This window comes from Homo sapiens, chromosome 6 (assembly GCF_000001405.40).
Source record: "Homo sapiens chromosome 6, GRCh38.p14 Primary Assembly".
Classification (NCBI taxonomy): domain Eukaryota; kingdom Metazoa; phylum Chordata; class Mammalia; order Primates; family Hominidae; genus Homo; species Homo sapiens.
Genome location: NC_000006.12, coordinates 849,592 through 876,977, shown reverse-complemented (window position 1 = coordinate 876,977; position 27,386 = coordinate 849,592). Strand labels below are relative to the sequence as shown.

The window sequence follows — 27,386 nt, the reverse complement described above, 5'->3', positions numbered from 1 at the left end:
TAAGAAAGCTAATCCCTTTGAGTCCACTTTGACTAGTTAGCCATTGTGGAGTGAGTAGCCCCGTCTGCTCTGCAGAACTTCAGGTGATGCTGGGGGGCTGAAAAGCAGCATAGGACTCACCAAAGCATCCTCTATCAGCTACAGGAACCACACATTATACAAGTTAATAATAATCACATCCTTGAATTCCCTGCTCCCGTCCACACCATAAATGCCCTGGTGGCAACCGCCTCCTGCAAGCTCTTCGGGATCACAGACAGCTCACAGTGCAGCTCCTACCTTCTGCTTCGGAAGCAAAGTTTACCTTCTTTGAATAGTTTGGGTGAGGTCCTCGCTAACATCAAAAGGACAATGAATATCTCAATTGGTGTTTAATATTTTATTTTGTGCCATTTTAAAAAGCAATTTAGATTTTACGTGAATTAGACGGGTGTGTCTTACTCCCATCCAGATAAAATATGGGCAGGGAAGCCTGGACTCCTGGAGATGTTCCTGCAGGAAGTCCATGGGCACCTGAGTAGTTGGAATGGGAAGGGAGAGTTTGACCCGAGACAGAGCATGAGCTCCTCCCAGGAACAAAGGCTTTATGAAAATATCCTGCTTCCCATCCCTGGGAGAGGGTCAGGGTGGGCGGAAGGGTCAGGAGAAAGAAAGATCATCAAAGAAGAAAGTCAACCAAAAACTGGAAAAGAGCGGACCCATCCCATTGTTTCCACTGAATTCATGTCATGAGAACAGACTCCTGGGGTCCCATTTCCTGTCTCTCCTGCACTTTTTCTCATGAGAATCTTGTCTTGGACTATGGGCCTGTAACAGTTTTGGACAGTCAAGGGCACCAGGCTATCAGCTGAGAATAAGGTATAGGGAAAGACAGCCTCCTTGGCAATCAAATGATTAAGCCAAGAGATGAAGCATCAGCCTTTTATTAAACTCTCATGCTAGCTACGTGTTCATTTCCTAAAGCGTCTTCTCTAGACCAGTGGAAGAGTGTAAAATGGGAATGCAATCCAGCTTGCTAACATTACATCAGAAGCTCAGTTTGGTATGGTACCTCATCCCCTCGTGTTGCCCTCACCCAGCAAACAAACAAAACCCTGCTAAATCTCAGTCCCAGAAAACAAACAGCTCGACCACTATGGGAGGAGATCACTTTTCTGGGAAATCTGGAGAAGAAAACAATTGATTCCATTCTGTCACGAATGGTTTGGTCTCATCTCCACATAGACGCTGAAGTGGAACTGAACAATCTCATGGATCTATCCTCTTTTTCTCTCTTTACATAACCCACCTCCTTTTCCCATCAGGGCTACAGAAAATAGGACATAACTGGGTCATTAGGTTCAGGCCCAGAGATCTGTCAAAAGGTCAATGGAGTGATATTTTCACAGCTAACAAGAGAGTAGTTTTCCCACTGACAATGTGGGGGTGAGAGACATTTGTGCTTCCCTGATTTCCTATCAAGTTTAGATTGCAAGTTTAGATAGCTGCATGGATGGGTAGATGATAGAGAGACGATAGGAGATGGATTGATAGATACATGAGATAGGAAAATAGGCAGACAAGTGCACTCTATAAAAGAGGAGATGAAGGGGAAAATTAGAAAAATGACAAAGTTCTTTTTGGAGTTTTTCGTTTGTTGGCCTGTGTTTTGGTTCTGTTTATATTTAAAATAGAGTATAGGGATTGTAAAGACGGTGGCCAGGTGAACTCTTGTCTCAAAGCCTTGCATCTCTCTTCTAGCAGGGCTGTTGTAAGATGAGTCATCAGGACCCAGAAAAGGCAACGTAGCAAGCCACCGTCCGCCAGATCACCTTTTCTAGAGTGCAGTGGGTTATCTTCCTCATGAGTGAGCCCAGAGGAAACACTGGATCTCCATGGAAAAATCACCCCCATAAAGGGAAGCAGACCCCGACCTGGGCCGCAATCTTCACCCAGCCCTCCATCTTCTAAAAATAACAGCGCCAGGCCACTCTTCCTTCCAGCTGCAGGCTCAGGACAGGGACTTTCTAAAAAAAAAGAAAAAGAAAAAGCACTTCTTCCTGTTTCACTAGTACTAGACACAGATGGCCAAGGACTCCCCACACAGATGCCCTAAATTTCACGTCCACTGTGACCAGGATGATGTGAAAGGGAAAACAGGCTGCTGCTGGCCATGGTTAGAGAACCGGGAAACAGGGCAGCTGTCCGTGGGGCTTTGGCCATTAGAGCCACGGGAAAGACATTCGCTGATTTCGCCTGTTTTCCTACCCTCTCCACAAAGCAAGGGCAGGTGTTTTAGAGACGCTTTGGTGTTTTAGAGATAGGCGGGTGTTTTAGATATGCTTTGGGTTGGAGCTAGATGTTACATCTTCACTCAGAGGGACCTGAGTGCACACACAAGCCAGTTCCTGGGCACTGGGTTCCACTCTTGTGTGCTGCTAAGTGGTAGGGCCCTGGTTTTCTAGAAGAGCAAAGCAGCTTTCTATCATACCAAAGCAGCTTGAGTCTCACGCTGGTCCTCAGGCAGCAAAGCAAAGGATGGGTAATACTTCCCTCCACAAACGAAGGTTCAACCAGAGAGGCTCCCATGCTCCTGGGGTACCCACAATGTTCCAACAGCCTCCTGATGGGTCCTAGTGGTGAAAAGATGCAACGGCCCAGCGCCAGGCCTCAGGGGACCTCCCCCATCCCCCCACAGCATCTGTCCCACGGGTCACTGCAGCCTCAGCCTCAGGCAAAACCTCTGGAAATCAGGAAATCTCCAGCTGTTTCCACAAAACCTCTAGCCCTTCGTTCTACTCTGCACAAACCCTCTCCTGGGAACTATATTAAAAATGAAATTAAATTTTATAAGAGCAGGCATTATATTGCCAGTTCTCACTGTGTACTGTATAGGTACATAGCCTGAGCTTGATCACATATGGGATTTTTGTTCTTTGTATAACAATTTGGGAATCAAGCACTTAGTCCATACTATAACCTCCATTATAAAACTTTTCTGTTAATAAATTAGATTAGACTTACATCATTTCAACTTGTAGTGCCTTTCCCAGAAACATAACCAGCCATAAGTTCCAGGAATGCAGTTTTGACCAGAGGGAAAAAGGGGCTCAAGGCCAAAGACCTGGGTTCAATCCCCTTTCTCTGCTACTTCCTGGCTGAATTTCTTAGGGAAGTTGCTCAGCTTCCTCCCATGTGAACTGTAGTTAATGGTAACAGCCACCTGCCTTGCTTGTTTTCATGATCAACTGTGAAGATAAAATAAAAGCACTTTATAAATGCTTTATGAACATCAGCTAGAAAGATAAATACCTTTGCTTGAAGCAGTCAATAATGATGAAATCCATACAAGCCAATCAACATTTCATTTAATGTTCCATGTTCCATTTCCAAAGGGAAAAAATTCTCTCCACAGAAGTTGGTAAAAATAGAGGAGTATTAGTTTGCTAGAGCTGCCATGACAAAGTACCACAGACTGGGCAGCTTAAACAACAGAAATTTATTCTCTCACAGTTCTGGAGGCTGGAAGCCTGAGATCGGGTTGTGTAGGGCTGGATTCTCCTTGGGGCCTCCCTCCTTGGCTTGTAGATGACGTCTTCTCCCTGTGTCCTCACATGGTGGTCCTTCTGTGCGTGTCTGTGTCCTAATCTCCTCTTCTTACACAGTCCCCAGTCAGATTGGATTGGAGTCCACCGTGGTCACCTAATTTTAATTTCACGACCTCTCTAAAGGCCCTGTCTCTAAACACAGCCACATTCTGAGGAACTGGGGGAGTTGGAGCAGGACACAGTTCAGCCCACATCAGATGGGTAGGACAGAAACTTCACCCATAAATTGAACTTGTTCATTTACTTTTTTCACTCTTTAATTTCAATCATCGAGTTCATTCAAAGAATGGTCTCTGATATAATGAATCTAGAAACTTTGGGCTGGCCTCATTTTCTCTACAACTTGATTTGTGGCCACGCTTACTAAGCCCGGGAACGTTCACTTTTGTAGAAGAAGAAAAGGAACAACAACCGCAGACAGAGTCCTGGCCGTGTCTGAACCACCTGCCCCAGGGTGGGGCTGTTTCTCCAGCTCTGCCAGGGAAGCATTTGGCAGTCCAGAGCTGATGAACTTCCATGCGTTTATTTCCCTCCAAAGGTTTTCAGAGTTTGCTAGGCCTTACTTTCATTGGCCAATTCAGACAAGAAAAGCTGACGTCCTGAGTGCTCCTCATCAACAGTCTCCCTGACGTCACCATTCAGGGAACCCTGACCCTACTCTCAACAGTGCAGCTGTGCTCAGGATGAGGTACAAAATAAAATTAATGAAGAGAAACTGTAATTTTACTCAAGAATGGATGCCAAAGCCACTATTTTACTGCAGGATAATTTGACAGAAATATGCTTATACATTTCCATAAAGGATTTTCATCACACGTTCCTTCAGTGGAGGTAGGTCTCATATTTAGTAGAAAAAAGTATTTTCGTGTCCATAGTATAATAAACATTCTGCTTTCAAATAACAATTGCTTCTTATCTCTAAGCTGAAAACTTAAAAAGTAGTTTCATACTTAACATCTCACTTTAAAAATCTTACCACCACCTCTCTTTAGGTAATTGGCATTCTAAAAGGATTTTAATTTGTTTATGATTAAGAAGCTGTGTCCTGTAGTAACAAAAGGAGACATACATTAATTGGATTTAATCAAAGCTTAAAACTTTTTATTTAAGACACCATCAAGAAAGTGAAAAGACCCGGGCGCAGTGGCTCACACCTATAATCCCAACACTCTTGGAGGCCAACGTGGGTGGATCACCTGAGGTCAGGAGTTCAAGACCAGCCTGGCCAACATGATGAAACCTCGTCTCTACTAAAAATACAAAAATTAGCTGGGCATGGTGGTGCACACCTGTAATCCCAGCTACTTGGGAGGCTGAGGCACGAGAATTGCTTGAACCCAGGAGACGGAGGTTGCAGTGAGGTGAAATCACACGACCGCACTCTAGCCTGGGAGACAGAGTGAGACTCCGTTAAAAAAAAAAAAAAAAAAAAAGACAACCCACAGAATGAAAGAAAATATTCTCGAGTCATGTATCTGATAAGAGGCTTGTATCTAGAATATATGCACTCAATAATAAAAAGGCCGATAACCCAATTTCAAAATGAGCAAAAGACTTACATAGACATTTCTCTGAAGATATGCAAAAGGACGACAAGCACATGAAAACATGAAAAGATGCTCAGCCTCATTAGCCACCAGGGGAATACCAAACAAAACCACACTGAGGTGCCACTTCCCACTGACTAGCATGGCTCCAATCAAAAAGAGACAATAGCAAGTGTTGGCGAGGATGTGGAGAAATCGGAACCTCGTACGTTACTGGTGGGAATGTAAAATTGTACATCTTTGAAAAATAGTCTGGGAGTTCCTCAAAAGGTTAAAGATAGAGTTGCCATATGACCCAGCAACTCCATTCATAGATATATACCTAAGAGAAATGAAAACATACATCCACATGAAAACTTGTATAGTTTGAGCATTGGTTATCCAAAATGCTTGGGACCAGAAGTGCTTCAAGTTCCAGATTTTTTGGCGGGGAGGATTTTGGAATATTTCCATATACATAATGAGATATCTTGGGGATGGGACCCAAGTCTAAACATGGAATTCATTTATGTTTCATGTACACCTTATACACACAGCCTGATGGTAATCTTATACAACATTTCTAATAATTTTGTGCATGAAACAAAACGTGTGTACACTGAACCATCAGAAAGCGAAGGTGTCATTATCTCAGCCACCCATGTTATGGGTCTTGGCCCCTTGTGGGGCCCTGTGGGGAACCTACCATTGGTGTGTCCAGCCTGCACACTTGCCATTTTATTACCCTTTGTAGGTGTGCTGTCCTGGGGGGAGTTGGGGCATGTTATGGAAAGATATTTCCCAGCTGAAGGGGGATGTGTTTCCACTTAGGGACGCTGAATAAATTGTGTTGTGCGCCTGCATTTTTACTGGGACCCGTCACATGGGGTCAGGTGGAGAATTTTCCACTTCTGGTGTCATGTTCATGATCAAAAAGTTTCAGATTTTGGAGCATTTTGGATTTCAGATTTTTGGATTAGGGATGCTCAACCTGTATATGAATGGCATCATTATCCATAACAGGCAAAAAGTCAGAACAATCTAAATGTTCATCAGCTGATGAGTGAATAAATAGTGTGCTGTATTCATGCAATGGAATGTTATTTGGCCATGATAAGAAATGAAGTATTGGTACAAGTTTCACTGATACATGCTGCAATGAACCTTGAAAATATTAGGCTAAGTGAACGAAGCCAGACACAGAAGATCCATTTTGTCTGAGTCCGTTTACAAGAAATATCCAGAAAAGGCAGATCTAGGGAGACACAAAATAGATTTATGGGTGTCAATGACTGCGGGTGGGAGGGAGAAAGGCGGAGTGGCTGCTAAGAGGTACAGGGCTTTTTGGAGGGTGATAAATATGTTCTCACATCTATCCTGACGATGGTTACACGACTCTAATCCACTAAACAACATTGAATTGCACCCTTTAAGTCGGTAAAGGCATATGGTATGCAAGTTATATCTCAACAAAGCTGTTATTAAAGAAAGGAAAAGCTGAGTCCTGCCACACCTCATGTCATGTCACCTCTTCATTTAACAGGTCACTGGGCCTGTTCTCATAGTCTTTAAAGAAAAGAGTGGCAATATATACTTTAGTCCCACCCATGATTGTGAATGTTTGGGTAAGTTCAACTGGAAATGTGACACACCTTCAGGAAATCTGTGGCAGGACCCATACGAGAAAAACATTTGGACTAGCAAGTAGAACTCAGGGTCCACCTCATTCCTCAAGAGTGATGGCCGAGGGCACACCCCAGGGACAAGGTCAGTGGTTGATACGAGGAGGCATATTTAGAGTTCCTCTACTCAGCATCCCGGGATGTGTGTCCCAGCGGGCTTGCCTCCTGGGGCTGGGGTTGTACACAGAAAAGACGAAATCTCCATGCACATGTTGCTGGGCAACCTTGTCTATTTTATTCATCATTGTATTTCCCGGCACAGCAGATGCTCCATAAATGCTGAATGAATAAGTGAATAAAAAGCTTATGTGTTTTTTCCTTACCCCTCATCACCTTAGCATTTGTCCTGAAATATGAGGCACAGCCATCTGGAAAATGGGCTTCCTGCATGTCCAAGGAGGAAGCTGGTCTCCCTGCACAGCTGTATTTTCCATCTTGCTCTTACCCATAACAGGTATTTTAACTCAGAAGGAGAGATGTGATTGTTGCTAAATGCATAGTGGGCGCTGGGCTCAGTTCCCGATTGCAAGTGTGTAGGAAACATAACTTCCTTGTTCTGTAGGTGAGCTGACCTCGATGAGAAGCCCCATTCTGCACTGACAGAGATGCTCTGCACCAACCTGGGGTCCCTGTGATTCCACAGGAGACAGGAGGATCGCCTGGGGGTGGGTGGAGCCTCACGGTCCACTCATGCAGGGTGCTGTGGAGACACCCTGCTGGCCCTCTGGTTGGGATACAGGCAGGTCCTGGCTGCCCCTCACACCTCTCCCCTGCCACAACCATGCAGCCCTTGGGTGTCCAGGAAACGTTTGATGGCTCCAGGACAGAAACCTCCGCAAGGCTCCCAACCTGGTCCTCCAGACACACCCGCAGACCTCTCCTCTGTCCCTGCTCCACGCTGGGCACTCTGAAGTCAGCCCCCAGCCTCACCTCCACCACCAGCCCAGGGCATGAGGGGCAGAATACAGGGTCCCTGGGGAGGGCCACCACTCTCGCGGCCCACTTCCCCTCCAGCTGTCCAGCTTCCCACTCAAGAAATACTTTCTGGGGCCCATTGTGAGTTCTGTGCCAGGGTCCAGACTTTTCAGATTCAAAAACCAAGAAATCAGCTAGTGTGTTATCTGTGTTCTGCTATGTTTTACCTGAGGAGGACATTCCCTGGAAATAAAGGCAGAGTGGGCCAGTGCCCAGTGAGGGATGGTCGAAGTAACAGGAAATACCCAGGAGACCACTCAGTGGCCTTGTCCTGAAGATTCCACTGTAGAATTTTACAAAAGTTAAGAAGCATGTTGAGTGCAACCACATCAGGCAAGCAAGAGGAGAGGAGGGGAGCCTGTTGCTGCTGTACAAGGCAGATCTTCGGCCACAGACCCACCAGCTCCAGATGCAGCCCAGCTTCCACCAAAGACAAGGCGAAATGGGAGTGGGTGGGCAGATACCTGGTCCTCAAAGTTGGAAGATGAAATCCTCGCAGACTTCTGCTTCATATCTTCTACCATGACCCTTTTGGAAGGTGTCAGGGCAGATGGCCCTACTGCAGAATTTAGGTCCTGGAGGTAGAGGGAGGGCTCTGCTCTGCTGTCCCCGGGTGGGCCTGGCTCTAGAGACTTCCCCTGTGGGGCACGCTGGGAAAGAAGGAGTCTCAAACCCATGTCATGTCACAAACAGCTGACACACGCCAAGAGCTTCTAGTCCAAGCTGGAGAAAGGAGGTGCTGGAAAGGCTGGGACCAACCCAGGTTGCCTTCAAATATCCCGAGGCTGTCAGAGAACAAAAGAATGAGGAGGAAGTTACAGGGAGGTGGGGTTTATTCAAATAAGAAAGATCAGGTAGTTTCTGTGAGAGTTAGCACCTCGTCCCTAAGTGCGTCCGGGCCGAGTTTGACTAGCAAGGCAGGACTGTCATGAAAGAGGTTTTCCATTAAACAGTTTCATCCAAATGGTCTCTGAAGTCACAGCTGACTGTTAAGAGTCTATGACTACAGTGTCCAGGTCAAGGTTGGCTGATATTGGATATTGAAGCAAATATCAAACCAAAGAGCCAAATGATCCATCTTTTAGAATAGATTCACATTTTTTTTTTTTTGAGACAGAGTTTCGCTCTGTCGCCCAGGCTGGAGTGCAGTGGCGCGATCTCGACTCACTGCAAGCTCCGCCTCCCGGGTTCACGCCATTCTCCTGCCTCAGCCTCCCATGTAGCTGGGACTACAGGCGCGCGCCACCACACCCGGCTATTTTTTTGTATTTTTAGTAGAGACAGGGTTTCACCGTGTTAGCCAGGATGGTCTCGATCTCCTGACCTCGTGATCCGCCCGTCTCGGCCTCCCAAAGTGCTGGGATTACAGGCGTGAGCCACCGCGCCCGGCCTAGATTCACATTTTTTAAAATCCCATTTCTGTTTATTATGAAGTCACTTTTATCTAATTGTTCATAAAAATGAATCTTAAAAATCTACACTTAGTTGAAAGTTCATAAAACATGTAATTAGGGCATTGCACGTCCACCACACATCTGGATTTATGAGTTCATTGAAAGCTGACAACAATCACTGAGATCACTCGTGAGTCCTGGCCGCCTGTCAGAGGCCAAAGGCTGCAGCTATCCTTTAACAGCCTGGTCTTTGCACTGGCCAAAGAGACAGTCAATGTCAGTCAGCATTTGCTGTTAATAGTGGATGTGGCCAGGTGTGGTGGCTTACGCCTGTAATCCCAGCACTTTGGGAGGCCAGGGAGGGCAGATCACCTGAGGTCGGGAGTTCGAGACCAGCCTGACCAACATGGAGAAACCCCATCTCTACTAAAAATACTAAATTAGCCGGGCGTGGCGGTGCATGCCTGTAATCCCAACTACTTGGGAGGCTGAGGCAGGAGAATTGCTTGAACCCAGGAGGTGGAGGTTGCAGTGAGCCAAGGTCATGCCGCCATTGCACTCCAGCCTGGGCAACAAGAGCAAAACTCCATGTCAAAAAAAAAAATAGATGTGATATGAAACTTTTACTAAGCATTTTATCTCTGCAAATATAAATTTGTCTAACACAAGCAGATCTGCAAATTTTCAATTTTCTGACAGTAAGTCACACACTTTAAGATTATATTTAATTACAAAAAAAAAAAAAGCCTTCTTTTGGGGGTAGAGGAGTTTGCGCCAGGCAGAAGGTCTGTTTTCAGATCTGTAAATGGGAGTGATAAGGGAACGTGGAGGTCTCTAAGGAAACACTCTACTATAAAGATTATGAGTCTAAACCCGCTCCTTGTCGATGGGGCCAGCTGCAAGAGTTCTTCCCTGTTTTTCTGGAATTTAAGTGTCTAGTCATAGTTCATCAGCTCATTTGCATTACTAAGTGGCCTCTTTACGTATAGTCTCTTGAGATAAGTATCAAAAATTCTAAAATCTGAGTTCAGAGGTTTTCCTTTTCATACCAGCTGCCTTTTACCTCTCTCCCTTCCCCACACACTTATTTCATCTGGCTTTATTTTGGGCACCAAAGGAGAAAAATGTCACACACACAAAAGTCAACCTGTCTTTTATTTCTATTTGGAGGGGAAAATATGCCCTATTTGTTATTTTCGAAACAGATGATTTTGGGGGTGGGGAACATAGTATTTTCAGGAAGTAGCCAGCCAGGTACCAGCAAACTCGAACTGAAACCCTGCAGCCGGTCCCGGCCCGTTCTGTGGCCGCCAAATTCAGTGCTGAAGTCAGGAGTCTCAGCCCGGGCAAGCCAGGGAGGGCCAGTTCCACTTTTGGCTGCAAAAAGTAGATTAAATGGAAAAATACTTTTAAAAGTAGCCCACACCTTTCTTTACTTTTCGGTTTCACTTGATTAACTCTCTCGGGTTATTTTTTTCTTAATGGTAAACTTAGGCAATGGAGGGTTTGGTTGACCTGTGTCAGCCCTCGGGGTTTATTCTGACCAACTTAACCTTTATGTTAAATAACTGTTTATATCACTGTTTATCATTCCTAATGCCAGTATTGAAACAGGAGCTGATAAAATGGGTCCACGCAGCCCTGTCACCATTTTCCTCTCAGAAAAGGTATGAATTTGTGAAGGAGTTGCTATCTGTCGTCCTTAAGTAAGTAAGATAAAGGAGTTATAAAATGGGCGTACTCTACTTACAGTCAGTATGAGAAGTCCCACCTGAGATTAGCCCTTGGAAACTGTAAATTAAAATGAAAACATTGTGTGCAAACAGTCACTTGGTCTCAGCCCAGAGGAGGGCAGGGAGAGGTACTTCTGGAAAGTTAGCTGCCCCTCCTGGGTCAGCCACCCCAGCCCCTTTCCCTGATGCCCCCAGAGTGCCAAAAATGTCACCCTGAGAGGCCGCTCCTGGGCTCACACTGTTGGGCCTTCCAGCCCCCTGACGCATCAGTGGTGTCCAGGCAGGGACCCCCACACAGGCCTTGGGGCCTCCGTTTGTCTAAGGTGACTCCACCCTTCGGGCCTGTCCTGCAGAGAGCCCCGCTGCATGTGAAGGTCTTCAGGAGGCCAGCAACCCCGGTGATAGCCTTTGGGTGGTCCCTGTCTCACTGAACTAGGACCCTTGGCTTACAGCCTTGCCACCTCATGCAACCCTGAATCCCCAAGACAGGATATGCACCACCTGGCATACAGAAAATGCGCTGTCAATGCCGAACAAAGGCACAAATGTTCACTTTGCTGTCTGCAATGCTCTCACCCAAACCCAGTAAGTCAAAACCAAAATGCCAAAGTAACTACATTCCTTTCTTTTTTTTCTTTTTTTTGAGACGGAGTCTCGCTCTGTTGCCCAGGCTGGAGTGCAGTGGCACGATCTTGGCTCACTGCAACCTCCGCCTCCTGCATTCCAGTCATTCTGCTGCCTCAGCCTCCCAAGTAGCTGGAACTACAAGCATGCGCCACCACACTGGGCGAATTTTTGTATTTTTTTTTTTTAGTAGAGACGGGGTTTCAGCATATTGACCAGGTTGTCTCGAACTCCTGACCTCGTGATCAGCCCGCCTCGACCTCCCAAAGTGCTGGGATTACAGGCGTGAGCCACCGCGACCGGCCTACACTCTTTTCTGTAACATGTGGTTCTATAGCCTCTTCACACAAGGTGGGAACTGCCAGGAGTCAAACCCTAGAGAAAATGGAGAACAATTGTCCCCAGACACAGTCCCTTGGCATCTGGCGATGACACGCATTCCTGGAAACAGTAACAAGTAGGCAAATAAGGGATTTCACCAATACGCCCTCCCACCAAGAAGCTCAGGAAACACACAAGTAGTTCCCAGTGACTTTCCCATTAGCTATGTTTTCCCTCAGAGAGTAAAAAATAAATATCTCTAGGCTCTGGAATTACTTCGAAAATAAAATAAAAGCTAGGTTGTGCTATGCGGGATGCAAACCTTTACTAAAAACTCAGACAGCCTCCTATGTTCCTGACAAGCCCTTATCTTGAGGATTTTTATTTAGGAACTAATAAAAAGTCTAGGAAAACATAAGTAGCTACATAAATATCTTAGAGCTACAAATGCTTACTCAGAACAGTCTCAGGTTACTTCTGAGATTCTGAACCCCACCTAAATATCTTCACAAGTAACATTTTCTTAAACTTGTGCACAGCAAAGGCCTTTCTTGATAAGATCTGTATTTCTAGAATTAAAGAAGCTGATCTCAAAGATGCGTAAGGGAGGGTGGAGAAAGGAAAGACAGGCAGGAGTGGGCACCCTGTTCTGTGCAGTCAGGGTCTTGCTAGGTCACCAGGGCTGGTCTTGAACTCCTGGCTTTAAGCAATCCTCCCGCCTCAGCCTCCCAAAGTGCCGGGAGTAAACCACACCTGGCCACATTTTATATTCTTTATATTTAAAATTATAAACAGGATATACTTCCAAAACAATAGCATAAATCAATTACTGCTGGGTATGCAAATGACAGCAAGGAAGCTTCCTAAAGCAGGAGAAAAGCTAGGTGGGGGCCATCATTCCTCCTCTCTTTGGACAAGACTCCATTAACTGTCTGAGGTGAGAAACACCCAGGTATTATCTACCTTTCTCCTTGTGCCCTCATTTAAGCAAACAAATTGACCCCCAAAAAAGGCACTTTTGAAAGCCCTTTGCAATTTTTGCTATGATTTCAGAACAATTGTGTTCATGCTCTTACTGGCAAACCCAACTGTAACATATCCCAAGGGGGCTGTTCAACTTATTTCATGGAAATGGAATATTCCAATTGACTTAAATGTTACTTTGAGTAAGTAGACAATTGCCTGAAGCAAAGACTTGTTGGTAAAAGTATAGCACCAAGTTATATTTATGGTAATGAGATTTGATCTGTAACCAGACTTCAGTAACTGGGTGCCGAGACCAGCGTCCCTCACACAGCAGGCATGGCAGGTGAGTCTCATGCCCTAACACCTCTTTTCTTTTAATAAAGGTGCTGCCTTCCAACAGCACACTGGACTGCTGGAAGCTTGCTTTCCAGATACAGAAATAATATGACTCAGGAAGTGGTGGCTTCCCGATGTGGATTCTTGTCCTGCTCCAACAGCACACTGGACTGCTGGAAGCTTGCTTTCCAGATACAGAAATAATATGACTCAGGAAGTGGTGGCTTCCCGATGTGGATTCTTGTCCTGCTCCAACAGCACACTGGACTGCTGGAAGCTTGCTTTCCAGATACAGAAATAATATGACTCAGGAAGTGGTGGCTTCCCGATGTGGATTCTTGTCCTGCTCCAACAGCACACTGGACTGCTGGAAGCTTGCTTTCCAGATACAGAAATAATATGACTCAGGAAGTGGTGGCTTCCCGATGTGGATTCTTGTCCTGCTCCAACAGCACACTGGACTGCTGGAAGCTTGCTTTCCAGATACAGAAATAATATGACTCAGGAAGTGGCGGCTTCCCGATGTGGATTCTTGTCCTGCTCCAACAGCACACTGGACTGCTGGAAGCTTGCTTTCCAGATACAGAAATAACATGACTCAGGAAGTGGTGGCTTCCCGATGTGGATTCTTGTCCTGCTCCAACAGCACACTGGACTGCTGGAAGCTTGCTTTCCAGATACAGAAATAACATGACTCAGGAAGTGGTGGCTTCCCGATGTGGATTCTTGTCCTGCTCCAACAGCACACTGGACTGCTGGAAGCTTGCTTTCCAGATACAGAAATAATATGACTCAGGAAGTGGTGGCTTCCCGATGTGGATTCTTGTCCTGCTCCAACAGCACACTGGACTGCTGGAAGCTTGCTTTCCAGATACAGAAATAATATGACTCAGGAAGTGGTGGCTTCCCGATGTGGATTCTTGTCCTGCTCCAACAGCACACTGGACTGCTGGAAGCTTGCTTTCCAGATACAGAAATAATATGACTCAGGAAGTGGTGGCTTCCCGATGTGGATTCTTGTCCTGCTCCAACAGCACACTGGACTGCTGGAAGCTTGCTTTCCAGATACAGAAATAATATGACTCAGGAAGTGGTGGCTTCCCGATGTGGATTCTTGTCCTGCTCCAACAGCACACTGGACTGCTGGAAGCTTGCTTTCCAGATACAGAAATAATATGACTCAGGAAGTGGTGGCTTCCCGATGTGGATTCTTGTCCTGCTCCAACAGCACACTGGACTGCTGGAAGCTTGCTTTCCAGATACAGAAATAATATGACTCAGGAAGTGGTGGCTTCCCGATGTGGATTCTTGTCCTGCTCCAACAGCACACTGGACTGCTGGAAGCTTGCTTTCCAGATACAGAAATAACATGACTCAGGAAGTGGTGGCTTCCCGATGTGGATTCTTGTCCTGCTCCAACAGCACACTGGACTGCTGGAAGCTTGCTTTCCAGATACAGAAATAATATGACTCAGGAAGTGGTGGCTTCCCGATGTGGATTCTTGTCCTGCTCCAACAGCACACTGGACTGCTGGAAGCTTGCTTTCCAGATACAGAAATAACATGACTCAGGAAGTGGTGGCTTCCCGATGTGGATTCTTGTCCTGCTCCAACAGCACACTGGACTGCTGGAAGCTTGCTTTCCAGATACAGAAATAATATGACTCAGGAAGTGGTGGCTTCCCGATGTGGATTCTTGTCCTGCTCCAACAGCACACTGGACTGCTGGAAGCTTGCTTTCCAGATACAGAAATAACATGACTCAGGAAGTGGTGGCTTCCCGATGTGGATTCTTGTCCTGCTCCAACAGCACACTGGACTGCTGGAAGCTTGCTTTCCAGATACAGAAATAATATGACTCAGGAAGTGGTGGCTTCCCGATGTGGATTCTTGTCCTGCTACCTTCAGTGACGCACTCTGTTCCTCCTTCCTTCGATGACCCTGGCACTGGTGTCCAGGGCTCTGAGCCTACAGAAGCCACAGAACCTCGGGGATTCTGCATAGTGGCATCATGGTGGCTGCAGGAGCTGTCTTTCTCCCAGGCCCTTGGAGAGCAAGGCCCCACCTGCTCAGGGTGGGGCTGCTCCCTGCGCCCATCCTTGGATAATCAATGGGGTGGCCCTAATGAGGTTGTGACAGCCCTCAAGAGGCAAACATCATAAGAGGGGGTTGAGAGGCTGGTCCAGGGCCAGGCCACCTTAGTGGGGCGTGGGAAGGGAACCATACAGGAGCAGCAGCAGAAAAGTAGCCCCCTGTGCCTAGGCCAAGAGCAGCGGAACAGAGGGCCCCACGGGGGGCAGGCAGAAGGTGTGCGGGGCCTGGGGCCTGCCAGGAGGAGAGGGTGTCAGGGCTTCCACTGGGGCCACTCCCAGCCAAAGCCTATCTCAGCTACTTTTGCTGTGTTTTCCACATCTGAATGGCGCGCTTCCATGTGGGAACAGGATCCCAGTGGCTGCGGTAGAGTGTCTAAACTAGGTGAGAGAACCCGCTGAGTCTTCCCTGGGCCCCTCCCTTTGGACCCATTGGCCCCTCTAGCTCTGCCCCTTCATTCTACAGCAGTGTTGCTGTAGGTGTGTTTATGTTCCAGAGAGCACCAGCCACAAATGTGAACGTAACATACACACACACACACACACACACACACCAGACTGTGGTTAAAATGTTCGGAAAATGCCACATTACCGTAGAATCCCATTAAAGGCTCAAACTAATGTCACAGCAAGGAGCTCTTTCATTTACTTCAACCCCATGTTCCCCCAATTCATCTTCCCACAGAACCTTGCGTGGCGGAATATCTACCCTGAGGCCATTTGTGCGATGTGGAGCGCTCCCTGGGAATCGCAGATGTGACCAATTTCCTTGTCTATTGGCTAAACCATTAGATCATCTTACAGTGTGGGACTTAAGTCAGGTGAGGCAGGTGAAGACAGGCCAGTGGGGAGGAGTGGGGGGCTCCAGGCACCAGAGCCTCTCCTGCATGCTGCACCAGAGCCTCTCCTGCATGCTGCACCAGAGCCTCTCCTGCATGCTGCACCAGAGCCTCTCCTGCATGCTGCACCAGAGCCTCTCCTGCATGCTGCACCAGAGCCCAACAACGTACTTGTGGTGTGTCCCTAAATCATCCTCCAGCTCCTACGTCCAGGTGAACTGATTCTGCTTTCACCCCAAAACCAATCTGGACACAGACCAAAGAGCCTCAAGGCTTTCCAAAAGAACCCACTTGCCTGGAATTATTACTGAGTGATGTATAACTTGCCTGAGATTTTGCAGAGAAGCTGAAACTGCCTTTGCAAAAATTATAACAGAAAACTATGGTAGTAAAAGAGATCTGATCTAACCCACCCCCCATCTTGTCTTCCCCTTAATTATTTCTGGGCTTTGTGGCTGAGCTAACTTCAGAAGACATTTAGGTTAGAGCTTAAATGATGATAGCCCTTCCCCCAAGTTCTACAGCCTCTGTAAAGCTAATGAAAGGCCATCAGGGCAGGGGAGGAGAGGAGCCTGGTTCTGCCAAGGTGTGGACTGGTCAGGAGATACTCCTGCAAATAACAGCATTGTGGTAGATGGGCCTGTTGAGAAATCTTTTCAGGATTTTTGCATGTGTGACACGCACGGCTCCACCTGGACCTGATGGCTCTGCCTAAACCCACCAACCCCACCCTTGTGGCCCCACCCAGAAGTGACTCAGTGGGCAGGAGGACAGCTTCAACCCCCTGTGATTTCATCTCTGTCCCAACCCACCAGCAGTAAGCACTCATTACCTGGCCACCTCTACCCCTTCCCTAAAACGGCCTTTGAAAGCCCCCTAACCCAGGAGCCTGAGATGATATTGATTTGAGTAATGACTCTGTCTCCTACGTGAGGTGGTTGGCCTTGTGTCTATTAAACTCTTTCTTTCTTTCTTTCTTTTTGAGACAGAGTCTCACTCTGTCACCCAGGCTGGAGTGCAGTGGCTCACTGCAACCTCCGGCTCCCGGGTTTCCGCCATTCTCCTGCCTCAGCCTTCCGAGTAGCTGGGACTACAGGCACCTGCCACCATGCCCGGCTAACTTTTTGTACTTTTTTTTTTTTAGTAGAGATGGGGTTTCACCATGTTAGCCAGGATGGTCTCGATCTCCTGACCTTGTGATCCACCCGCCTCGGCCGCCCAAAGTGCTAGGATTACAGGCGTGAGCCACTGTGCCCAGCCTAAACTCTTTCTTTATTGCTATGCTGTGGTCTTTGTTTGTGCAGCAGACAGGAAGAACACATCAGGCAATTACAAAGCCAGAGAAAGGGGATTGTGTGTGATGCTCAACGCCCAATACCTACAAATTGTCCATACCAGCAAGGAGGTGGCTCCTCTCTTCCCAGAATTAGCCTCCTTGTCACCTCTTTCCCATTTTATGCTGAGCAGTTTATTTCTGCCCTGGCTTCTGTCCCCAAATGTGTATACTAAAACTTACCTAAGTGCTCAACAAATCAAAATCCCCTCTCATCAATCATTCCTACCCTTAGAAGACTATTGAGAAACTATCCTTTGTCTTTGAGCATGTTCACGGGAGTCTTATACTAAAATATTTCTTCCAAACAAATACAATACTTTCCCCAAGGGCCTTATGGTTGATTACATTTTCTCCATCACACCAGCATCTAGAAGTGGCCTCTGCCCTGCCAACAACATTCTTCTGACCCTCTCCTCGGTGACACACGGGCTTTGCAGTCCTTTTCACACTTTATCACCAAAGCCACACAAGGAATATTTCTCCTTCACTCTTGACATATTAAATGGCCAGCGTATTCCAACAATTGTTCCAGGGTGCAGGCCTCCTCTAGGCCATGGACTATTTGCTTTGCAGTTAACTAGAAACATGATGCAGTGCCGCGTAAGGCAAATTAACTGGAAGAGCCTCCAAAGGCCATCTCAGCAGGGGAGAAGGTGAGCAAGTAGAGGGTAAGCCTCCCTCTGGTTATGCTTTCATCAGAGGATCTCTGGGAAAAAGAGAAAGATTTTTAAGTATTCTACATATAAAAGATCTATCACTATCCATTGCCTCATTTACCAATAATTAATTGATCATCTATTATATGCCAGGCAGTGAGCTTTATTGCCAAAAGGCGGGATAGGGGAAAACAAAGATAAATGAGATTGAACAAGTAAATTTGATGAGAAAATCATAGAGACAAGATCCATCGAGGAATAAAATGAAACTAACGACAGGTGGCTGGCACCTAAACTGACTTAAACGATATTATCAGGAATAGGAGACAGAGAAATGGCAAAAAGTGCACACATAGAGAAGCCAGAGCCTGACAGCGAAGGCTCTATCGGGTAACTTACCCAGAGAAGATGGAAAACCAGGCCCCTCCAGAACATGTGCTCTGGGAAGAGAATGGTTCCTGGGAGCTGAGCTAAGCAGAGGGCTGCTTGTTGTCTTTGATTCGTAGTTTCCTCACTTACAACATGAGGCCTGAGTGAGGATGTTATTCTTTGCAAATGCCAGTTCTTTTCGTAATTTGGGGCATGCTATGGTTTTTGTTCTTTAATTGCCTTCATATTCTTGATTTCAAGAAAAAGAAATGCAAAAGATTAGTCACGCATGTTATGAAAACTGTACTCTCCTGATGTATGCCCAGGAGTGTGGGACCACCATAAAGGTTTCCTAACTTATGAACTTACCAAATACTAACCACTTGGAGAAAGTGTAGGGACTAAGTGCACACCTTCCCTTGGAGGAAAGTTTCCCATTGGCATCAGCCTCATCTGGAAGAGGCTCAAAGACAGAAGTTGGCCCAGGGTGTGAGCTCCAATACAGCAGGGACTTTTTTTATCTCTTTTACTCAGTTGTGTGACGTGTGACCTCAGCTCCTAAAATACTGCTGGGTACACAGTAGGTGCTGAGTAACTATTTGTTGGATAGACACATAGATGGATGGATGGATGGATGGATAGGTGGATGGATGGATAAATGAGAGGATAGGAGGATGGATGGATAGGTGGATAGGTGGATCGATGGATAAATGAGAGGATAGGAGGATGGATGGATGGATTGATAGGTGGATGGATGGATGGATTGATAGGTGGATGGATGGATAAATGAGAGGATAGGAGGATGGATGGACGGATAGGTGGATGGATGGATAAATGAGAGGATAAGAGGATGGATGGATGGGTGACTAGGTGGATGGATGGATAAATGAGAGGATAGGAGGATGGATGGATGGGTGGATAGGTGGATGGATGGATAAATGAGAGGACAGGAGGATGGATGGATGGATGGATGGATGGATGGATGGATGGATGGATGGATAGGTGGATGGATGGATAAATGAGAGGAGGATGGATGGAGGAATGGATAGGTGGATGGATGGATAAATGAGAGGATAGGAGGATGGATGGATGGGTGGATAGGTGGATGGATGGATAAATGAGAGGATAGGAGGATGGATGGATGGATGGATGGATGGATGGATGGATGGATAGGTGGATGGATGGATAAATGAGCGGATAGGAGGATGGATGGGTGGACGAGTGGCAGTGACTGAGGCACGACTTCTCCTTGAGCTAGGACTCTCACATGCACATTTCATAATCTGCATTATTTGACCACAATTATATTGAATTTTAAGGTTTAGGCTTTTCTAACACAATTAGTATATTTTAATTTATTTCCTCTGAAGAGAGCAATCTAAGAAAAAAATGCAGCGATGGTGCAATAAGCCTGAATATCTAGCCACATTTATAAAATGTCCAACCTTAGAAGGCTAGAATGCCCTTAGCAGGATTCATACATTTTGTTGCAATATTATCAGCTTTTCTATAAGGCTCCTATCAGCATTTTCACTTGTCAAAATATGCAATCTTTTTTAAAAATATAATATAGAAAAAATTATAACTGACTTTATTTTTCCAGAAAAGCAGCAAATCCAGTTTTCAACTCTATGTTTTTCTTCAGCTAGAAGATTTTAGGAGCTTCCGATTCAAAGTGGCAATCCATCTACATTTTCAGTTTACTTTCTGAGCACTAATGTTTACTACAACACTTTCTGTTTTACAAAGAGATAGGGAAAATAGACACCTGTTACCCAAGAAGCAAGGCCGGGATTGAAACCTGCCAGATGTGGCTGGGCGCAGTGGCTCACGCCTGTAATCCCAGCACTTTGGGATGCCGAGGCCGGCGGATCATGAGGTCAGGAGATCGAGACCATCCTGGCTAACACGGTGAAACCCCATCTCTACTAAAAATACAAAAAATTAGCCGGGCGTGGTGGTGGGCACCTGCAGTTCCAGCTACTCGGGAGGCTGAGGCAGGAGAATGGCGTGAACCCGGGAGGCCGAGCTTGCAGTGAGCTGAGCTCGCGCCACTGCACTCCAGCCTGGGCGACAGAGAGAGACTCTGTCTCAAAAAAAAAAAAAAAAAGAAACCTGCCAAATGTTGTCCACAGACACCCTAGAAGTTTGGCCGACCACTGTGGTGCATAGGGGTAATAAGTGCTGAGAATGGGAGGTCTCGCACTGGCTCTTGGCATCAGTGACTGGACTTCTATGGCCTAGGAACTAGATTGCAGAAGTGTGTCACCGATGGGTCAAGCCACCCTTGGAAAGAAGATAATTCCTGTTTCTGTTCCACAGAGTAGACTTTAACTTTCCATCCTGGAAAACACATGGGATTCAACACTTGAAAGCACCTTAGTTCAGTTTTCCTCTTTATAAAGGACATGTGACCTGCATTCAGAAGGCTTCCTTTATACTGAAGCCTGTGGTTTATCTGTCGTCTGGCTTTCTATAAGTCACTTACCTTCTCTGCACCTGACTTTCCTCATCCAGACACGGAAGGTTAATTTTCTTAGTGATGTGGTACCGTGTGTTCCATGTGCACGAACTCTTTGTACCCATAGACTCTTCCCTTCCTGGCTCTCTTCCTCCCAGGGTTCTACCTTCTGGAGGAGATTGCATTAGGGGGTTGGAAAAAGGCAGAGATAATGAGGAAAAACAGGCAGACTCCCGAAGTGGGGAAGGGCAGGAAAAGCGGCAGGGCCCACCATCATGAGCCTGGGAGGGGGCAAGGCTGCAGAGGAACGTGCAGAAATGTGCCTAGGGAGGTGGAATCCCCGCCCCAGGGTCCCTGAGCAAGGACTCCTGAGCCCACACAAGGCATGGAAGCAATGACACCGCAGGCTTTCAAGGAGAAAATTCCCCAAAGGTTGAATCTGCATGAGAACCCTGGGAATCTAGGACATTTCTTTGAGTCTGGGAAAGCACCCCAATAACAACGGAGAACAAATTCCTAGTTGACACCATAGACCAGGGAATAGAGTGGAATCAAACCTCTGGAAGTGGGACTGATTTAAGGAGAACAACGGAGCAGGAGGTTTTGCAGGCAGGAATGTTGTAGTGAAACACTCAAACACTCGCACCTGCCAAGTGTAACTGGTGGACCAACACTGGACGCCACGGGCCTCCGGAAGATAAGCAGTAGGGAGCTGCAAAATCTAAAATGGCATGCAAACGTCTTCATTATTTGATGGTAAAACAGTCTGACAGACGTGCGTTTTTCGTCTTGTGCTCAGCAGTCTCTATGATGGCGAGGAGGGCATTCGCTAACCCAAGGACCTCTTCCAAGTTTCTCTGGGATGTTTTTAAGATGAAACACACTCCACAACAGAGTAGGGAAGTTTAAGAGGACTTGGCATTTTGAGATTAAATTGTCTCTACTAAAGGAAAAAAATATAAAACCTCAAACACAAATCAGGCAAAGTAGTAAGGCTTTAATTCAAAAGAGCAAAAACTTTCTGTTGAGCATTACAGGATTATGCTCTAAGAAGAAAATTGGCATCAGTCTCCAAAGTCTCACAGCCTGCTGGCCTAACTTACTACGAGGGATAGAGCTCATGGGCATCTGCTCATCTTACAACCAAACCTCTCCACGTAAAGTAATGCCGGCAACTGCTCACAGGAAATAAGAAACTGGATCCAAAACATTTGAAGTGTTTTTATTTGGACAGTGGGTGGGCGAGGGCAGGGATTGGATGGAATGCTGTGTGTGCGTGCACGCTGATGAGTTCCTTTGTAGATAACAGTTTAGTTTCAGTTTAAAAAAATATAGATATATATAAAGAGCAAGCAAGAGGGAGGGAGATCATCAGGAACTGTTTAGACTGAGAAAACTCCAGCAATCTGGTGCCACATGCATTTTCCAAGGGGATTTTCATATGAACCGGTCACGTCCAACGTGTCCTCTGTGGCAGTGCCTCCCCCACGCAGACAGCCCACACACAGGACTTTAATGATCTGGGGCACATTCCTTTACTGCTCTGTCTCAAAAAAAATGTATAAGGTGCCTAACAGATGATAGATCTACAGCAGACAAAACCAGTGACTGCCCCTGGCAGGAGCCCGTGAACCACATCAGCCACAGGTGATCTCCACGTGGCTCACCTTTCTGATCCTTCAGAGAGCACACACTAGAAAATGCCTCCTCAGAGCACTGAGAAGGGCAAAGCCCCCAGGCTTCAACATTCTGGGACATTCCGGGAGCTCTGTGGAAGGAGAAGAACTGAAGCCAGCCTTAGGTCCAGTTTCTGTCTCTCAAAAGTAAACTCACTTAACATGTTCTCCTGGTACAGGACATGCTTCGTTTCTCTAACTGCCCTGTGTTAAGAAGTCTCCTTCTCAGATGCGGTTAAAATCTAGCCTCAAAATCAGAAAGCAGAAGCTCTCAACCAGAAAGTGAGAGCAAAGATATGCTCATCAAATCGTGCATTTGCTACAAGACACAAAGCTCACTCTTTCTCGTTGGACAGGAGCAAGTGATAGCGTTCTGAAGGTAGATAGCATTCAGAGGGCAAATGGCAGAATTTACCTAGGAAAAGGAGGATGACCAATATCTTCTCATTGCATCTTCAACACAGCCACCAAAAGACAGGGATGGAAGAAACTTCCCTGGCCCCAGAAAGGATGTTTTCAGATGGAGAGTCATAGGATACACTTAATTTGGCAGAGGTTGAGGACTTCTCTCATGCATGTTGGTCAAATTATGAGAAAAATTATTCTAAATTAAGTAGACAGAACCTAACTAGTTCACTGTTCAACTTCTTTGGCCTCCTGACCTGGGGGTGCAGGGTTTGGGTTGAGGATACTCACACTTACTGGAAACCTACGTTGTATAGATTGACAAGCCGTGACCTGGCTTTGTCCTGCTCCTCTGAATGGGAAATCAGCCCAGTTAGATTTGCTACAGAATAAACCAACAAGAGTTAGTGATTTCCAGCAATCATCTGGTTAGCAGCTTGGGCTGGACTAGGCCAGGCCATGCTGCTGCTCTGGGCCAGGCTCACTCACGTACCTGAAGCCCACCAGCCGGCTGAAACTGGCAATGAGTCAGCCTGCACTGGTCACAGGGGGCCTGAGTGGGCTCCAGGGAAGCCTCATCTCAAAGCCCAGCCTGGACATTTCTGGCACATTTTATTGGCTAGAATAAGTCCACAAAGTCAAGTGATAGTGAATAGTCCTTCCTCCCTGAGCTGCAAAGTCACAATGCAAAAGAGTGTAGCTGCAAGGAGGGGAGTAATTTGCAGCCATTTTGGCAATTACTGCAAAAATGAGAAAAGCCACCTGTATTCATTTGCCAGGCTCGCCATAACAAAATACCACAGACTGGCTGCTGCAAACTACAGAAATGTATTTTCCCACAGTTCTGGTGGTTGGAAGTCTAAGCTCAAGGCATCCGCAGGGTCAGTTTTGCTGGCCTCGGCTTAGCCTGCAGACAGGGCCATCTCCCTGTGTTCTCACACGGTCCTTCTTCTGTGTATCTCTGGTATCTCTACATGTCCTAATCTCCTCTGCTTATGAGGATACCAGTTAGATAGGTCCACCCCAACAGCTTCATTTTAAATAAATTACCTCTTTAAAGGCCTATCTCCAAATAGTCATACTCTAAGATATTGAGGGTTAAGGCTGAATTCTGGGAGAACACAACTCAGGCCAATACACCACCAAAATCAGAAACAATCAAAGATGTGGGAGTGTCATCCTTATGGGGCATAGTCAGTAATAGTATCATACTGTAACAGTACATTGGTGATGGGAGATAAAAATGAAATTTTTTTTATTATACTTTAAGTTCTGGGGTACATGTGCAGAACGTGCAGGATAGTTACATAGGTATACACATGCCATGGTGGTTTGCTGCACCCATCAACCCATCATCTGCATTAGGTATTTCTCCTAATGCTATCCCTCCCCTACGCCCCCACCTCCTGACAGGCCCCAGTGTGTGATGTTCCCCTACCTGCGTCCATGTGTTCTCGTTGTTCAACTCCTACTTATGAGTGAAAACATGCAGTGTTTGGTTTTCTGTTCTTGTGTTAGTTTGCTGAGAATGATGGTTTCCAGCGTCATCCATGTCCCTACAAAGACATGAACTCATCCTTTTTTATGGGTGTATAGTATTCCATGGTGTATACGTGCCACATTTTCATTATCCAGTCTATCATTTATGGGCATTTGGGTTGGTTCCAAGTCTTTGCTATTGTGAACAGTGCCACAATAAACATATGTGTGCTGTGTGCATGTGTCTTTATAGTAGAATGATTTATAATCCTTTGGGTATATACCCAGTATTGGGATTGCTGGGTCAAATAGTATTTCTAGTTCTAGATCCTTGAGGAATCACGATACTGTCTTCCACAATGGTTGAACTAATTTACACTCCCACTAACAGTGTAAAAGCATTCCTATTTCTCCACATCCTTTCCAGTATCTGTTGTTCCCTGACTTTTTAATGATTGCCATTCTAACTGGCATGAGATGGTATCTCATTGTGGTTTTGATTTGCATTTCTTTAATGACCAGGCATGATGAGCCTTTTTTCATATGTTTGTTGGCTGCATAAATGTCTTCTTTTGAGAAGTCTGTTTATATCTTTTGCCCACTTTTTGATGGGGTTGTTTTTTTTTTTCTTGTAAATAAGTTTAAGTTCCTTGTAGATTCTGGATATTAGCCCTTTGTCAGATGGATAGATTACAAACATTTTCTCCCATTCTGTAAATTGCCTGTCACTCTGATGATAGTTTCTTTTGCTGTGCAGAAGCTCTTTAGTTTAATTAGATCCCATTTGTCAGTTTTGGCTTTTGTTGCAATTGTCTTTGGTGTTTTAGTCATGAAGTCTTTGCCCATGCCTATGTCCTGAATGATATTGCCTAGGTTTTCTTCTAAGGTTTTTATGGTTTTAGGCCTTACATTTAAGTCTTTAATCCATCTTGAGTTAATTTTTGTATAAAGTGTAAGGAAGGGAACCAGTTTCAGCTTTCTGCATATGGCTAGCCAGTTTTCCCAGCACCATTTATTAAATAGGGAATCCTTTCCCCATTGCTTGTTTTTGTCAGGTTTGTCAAAGATCAGATGGTTGTAGATGTGTGGCATTATTCCTGAGGCCTCTGTTGTGTTCCATTGGTCTATATATCTATTTTGCTGTTTTGTTAATAGCACCATGCTGTTTTGGTTACTGTAGCCTTGTAGTATAGTTTAAAGTCAGGTAGCATGATCCCTCCAGCTTTGTTCTTTTTGTTTAGGATTGTCTTGGCTATGCGAGCTCTTTTTTGGTTCCATATGAAATTTTTTTTTTTTTTTTTTTTTTTTTGAGACAGAGTCTCGCTCTGTCGCCCAGGCCGGACTGCGGACTGCAGTGGCGCAATCTCGGCTCACTGCAAGCTCCGCTTCCCGGGTTCACGCCATTCTCCTGCCTCAGCCTCCCGAGTAGCTGGGACTACAGGCGCCCGCCACCGCGCCCGGCTAATTTTTTTTTGTATTTTTAGTAGAGACGGGGTTTCACCTTGTTAGCCAGGATGGTCTCGATCTCCTGACCTCATGATCCACCCGCCTCGGCCTCCCAAAGTGCTGGGATTACAGGCGTGAGCCACCGCGCCCGGCCCCATATGAAATTTAAAGTAGTGTTTTCCAATTCTGTGAAGAAAGTCAATGGTAGCTTGATTGGGATAGTATTGAATCTACAAATTACTTTGGGCAGTATGGCTATTTTGACGATATTGATTCTTCCTATCAATGAGCATGGAATATTTTTCCATTTGTTTGTGTCCTCTCTTATTTCCTTGAACAGTGGTTTGTAGTTCTCCTTGAAGAGGCCCTTCACATCCCTTGTAAGTTGTATTCCTAGGTATTTTATCCTCTTTGTAGCAATTGTGAATGGGAGTTCACTCATGATTTGGCTCTCTGTTTGTCTGTTATTAGTGTATAAGAATGCTTGTGATTTTTGCACATTGCTTTTTTATCCTGAGACTTTGCTGAAGTTGCTTATCAGCATAAGGAGATTTTGGGCTGAGATGATAGGGTTTTCTAGATATACAATCATGTCATCTGCAACACAGACAATTTGACTTCCTCTTTTCCTACTTGAATACCCTTTATTTCTTTCTCTTGCCTGATTGCCCTGGCCAGAACTTCCAACACTATGTTGAATACGAGTGGTGAGAGAGGGCATCCTTGTCTTCTGCCGGTTTTCAAAGGGAATGTTTCCAGTTTTTGCCCATTCAGTACGATATTGGCTGTGGGTTTGTCATAAATAGCTCCTATTATTTTGAGATATGTTCCATCAATGCCTAGTTTATTAAGAGTTTTTAGCCTGAAGGGATGTTGAATTTTGTCGAAGGCGTTTCCTGCATCTATTGAGATAATCATGTGGTTTTTGTCATTGGTTCTGTTTATGTGATGGATTATGTTTATTGACTTGCCTATGTTGAACCAGCCTTACATCCTAAAGATGAAGCTGACTTGATTGTGGTGGATAAGCTTTTTGATGTGCTGCTGGATTTGGTTTGCCTGTATTTTATTGAGGATTTTTGCATGATGTTCATCAAGGATATTGGCCTGAAATTTTCTGGGTTTGTGTGTATGTGTGTGTGTGTGTGTGTGGTGTCTCTGCCAGGTTTTGGTATCAGGATGATGCTGGCCTCATAAAATGAGTCAGGGAGGATTCCCTCTTTTTCTATTGTTTGGAATAGTTTCAGAAGGAATGGTACCATTTCCTCTTTGTACCTCTGGTAGAATTTGGCTGTGAATCTGTCCGGTCCTGGACTTTTTTTGATAGGTAGGCTATTAATTAAAAACAAAATCTTAAATACAAAGAACAGAAGCCAGCACAGCACCGTCTTTATCAACTGCAGCTTGAATGCAGTGGTTCACCAGTTTTTCACATCCCAAATCCCCTGAGACCTTCTACTGTACTATTCACATCTATTTAATGTC

The 27,386-nt window shown here is 45.7% G+C and overlaps 1 long non-coding RNA gene across 1 annotated transcript, besides 6 other annotated features; it reads right to left on the bottom strand.

The window, feature by feature from the left end:
• Positions 1-364: 364 nt before the first annotated feature.
• LOC101927691 (uncharacterized) lies at positions 365-8,480 on the bottom strand. The gene is made up of 3 exons (NR_110853.1): positions 7,938-8,480; positions 3,004-3,227; positions 365-2,006 (listed from the first exon to the last, which is right to left on the bottom strand). It is a non-coding gene; the product is annotated as an uncharacterized LOC101927691 (long non-coding RNA).
• Positions 8,835-9,017: a silencer, noted in NCBI's record as "fragment chr6:867961-868143 (GRCh37/hg19 assembly coordinates)". NCBI's record gives its function as "represses an EF-1alpha promoter that drives an FKBP-Casp9 reporter gene in an ReSE screen in K562 erythroleukemia cells {active_cell/tissue: K562}" and the evidence as "EXISTENCE:reporter gene assay evidence [ECO:0000049][PMID:32094911]".
• Positions 12,994-13,687: an enhancer, noted in NCBI's record as "H3K27ac hESC enhancer chr6:863291-863984 (GRCh37/hg19 assembly coordinates)". NCBI's record gives its function as "activates a minimal SCP1, AML or CMV promoter by ChIP-STARR-seq in primed H9 embryonic stem cells {active_cell/tissue: H9 hESC(primed)}" and the evidence as "EXISTENCE:reporter gene assay evidence [ECO:0000049][PMID:30033119]".
• Positions 12,994-15,075: a biological region, named in NCBI's record as "CDK7 strongly-dependent group 2 enhancer GRCh37_chr6:862355-863554".
• Positions 13,424-14,623: an enhancer, noted in NCBI's record as "CDK7 strongly-dependent group 2 enhancer chr6:862355-863554 (GRCh37/hg19 assembly coordinates)". NCBI's record gives its function as "activates an origin of replication core promoter dependent on BRD2, BRD4, P300/CBP, MED14 and CDK7 cofactors, with strong dependence on CDK7, by STARR-seq in HCT116 cells {active_cell/tissue: HCT116}" and the evidence as "EXISTENCE:reporter gene assay evidence [ECO:0000049][PMID:35650434]".
• Positions 13,688-14,381: an enhancer, noted in NCBI's record as "H3K27ac hESC enhancer chr6:862597-863290 (GRCh37/hg19 assembly coordinates)". NCBI's record gives its function as "activates a minimal SCP1, AML or CMV promoter by ChIP-STARR-seq in primed H9 embryonic stem cells {active_cell/tissue: H9 hESC(primed)}" and the evidence as "EXISTENCE:reporter gene assay evidence [ECO:0000049][PMID:30033119]".
• Positions 14,382-15,075: an enhancer, noted in NCBI's record as "H3K27ac-H3K4me1 hESC enhancer chr6:861903-862596 (GRCh37/hg19 assembly coordinates)". NCBI's record gives its function as "activates a minimal SCP1, AML or CMV promoter by ChIP-STARR-seq in primed H9 embryonic stem cells {active_cell/tissue: H9 hESC(primed)}" and the evidence as "EXISTENCE:reporter gene assay evidence [ECO:0000049][PMID:30033119]".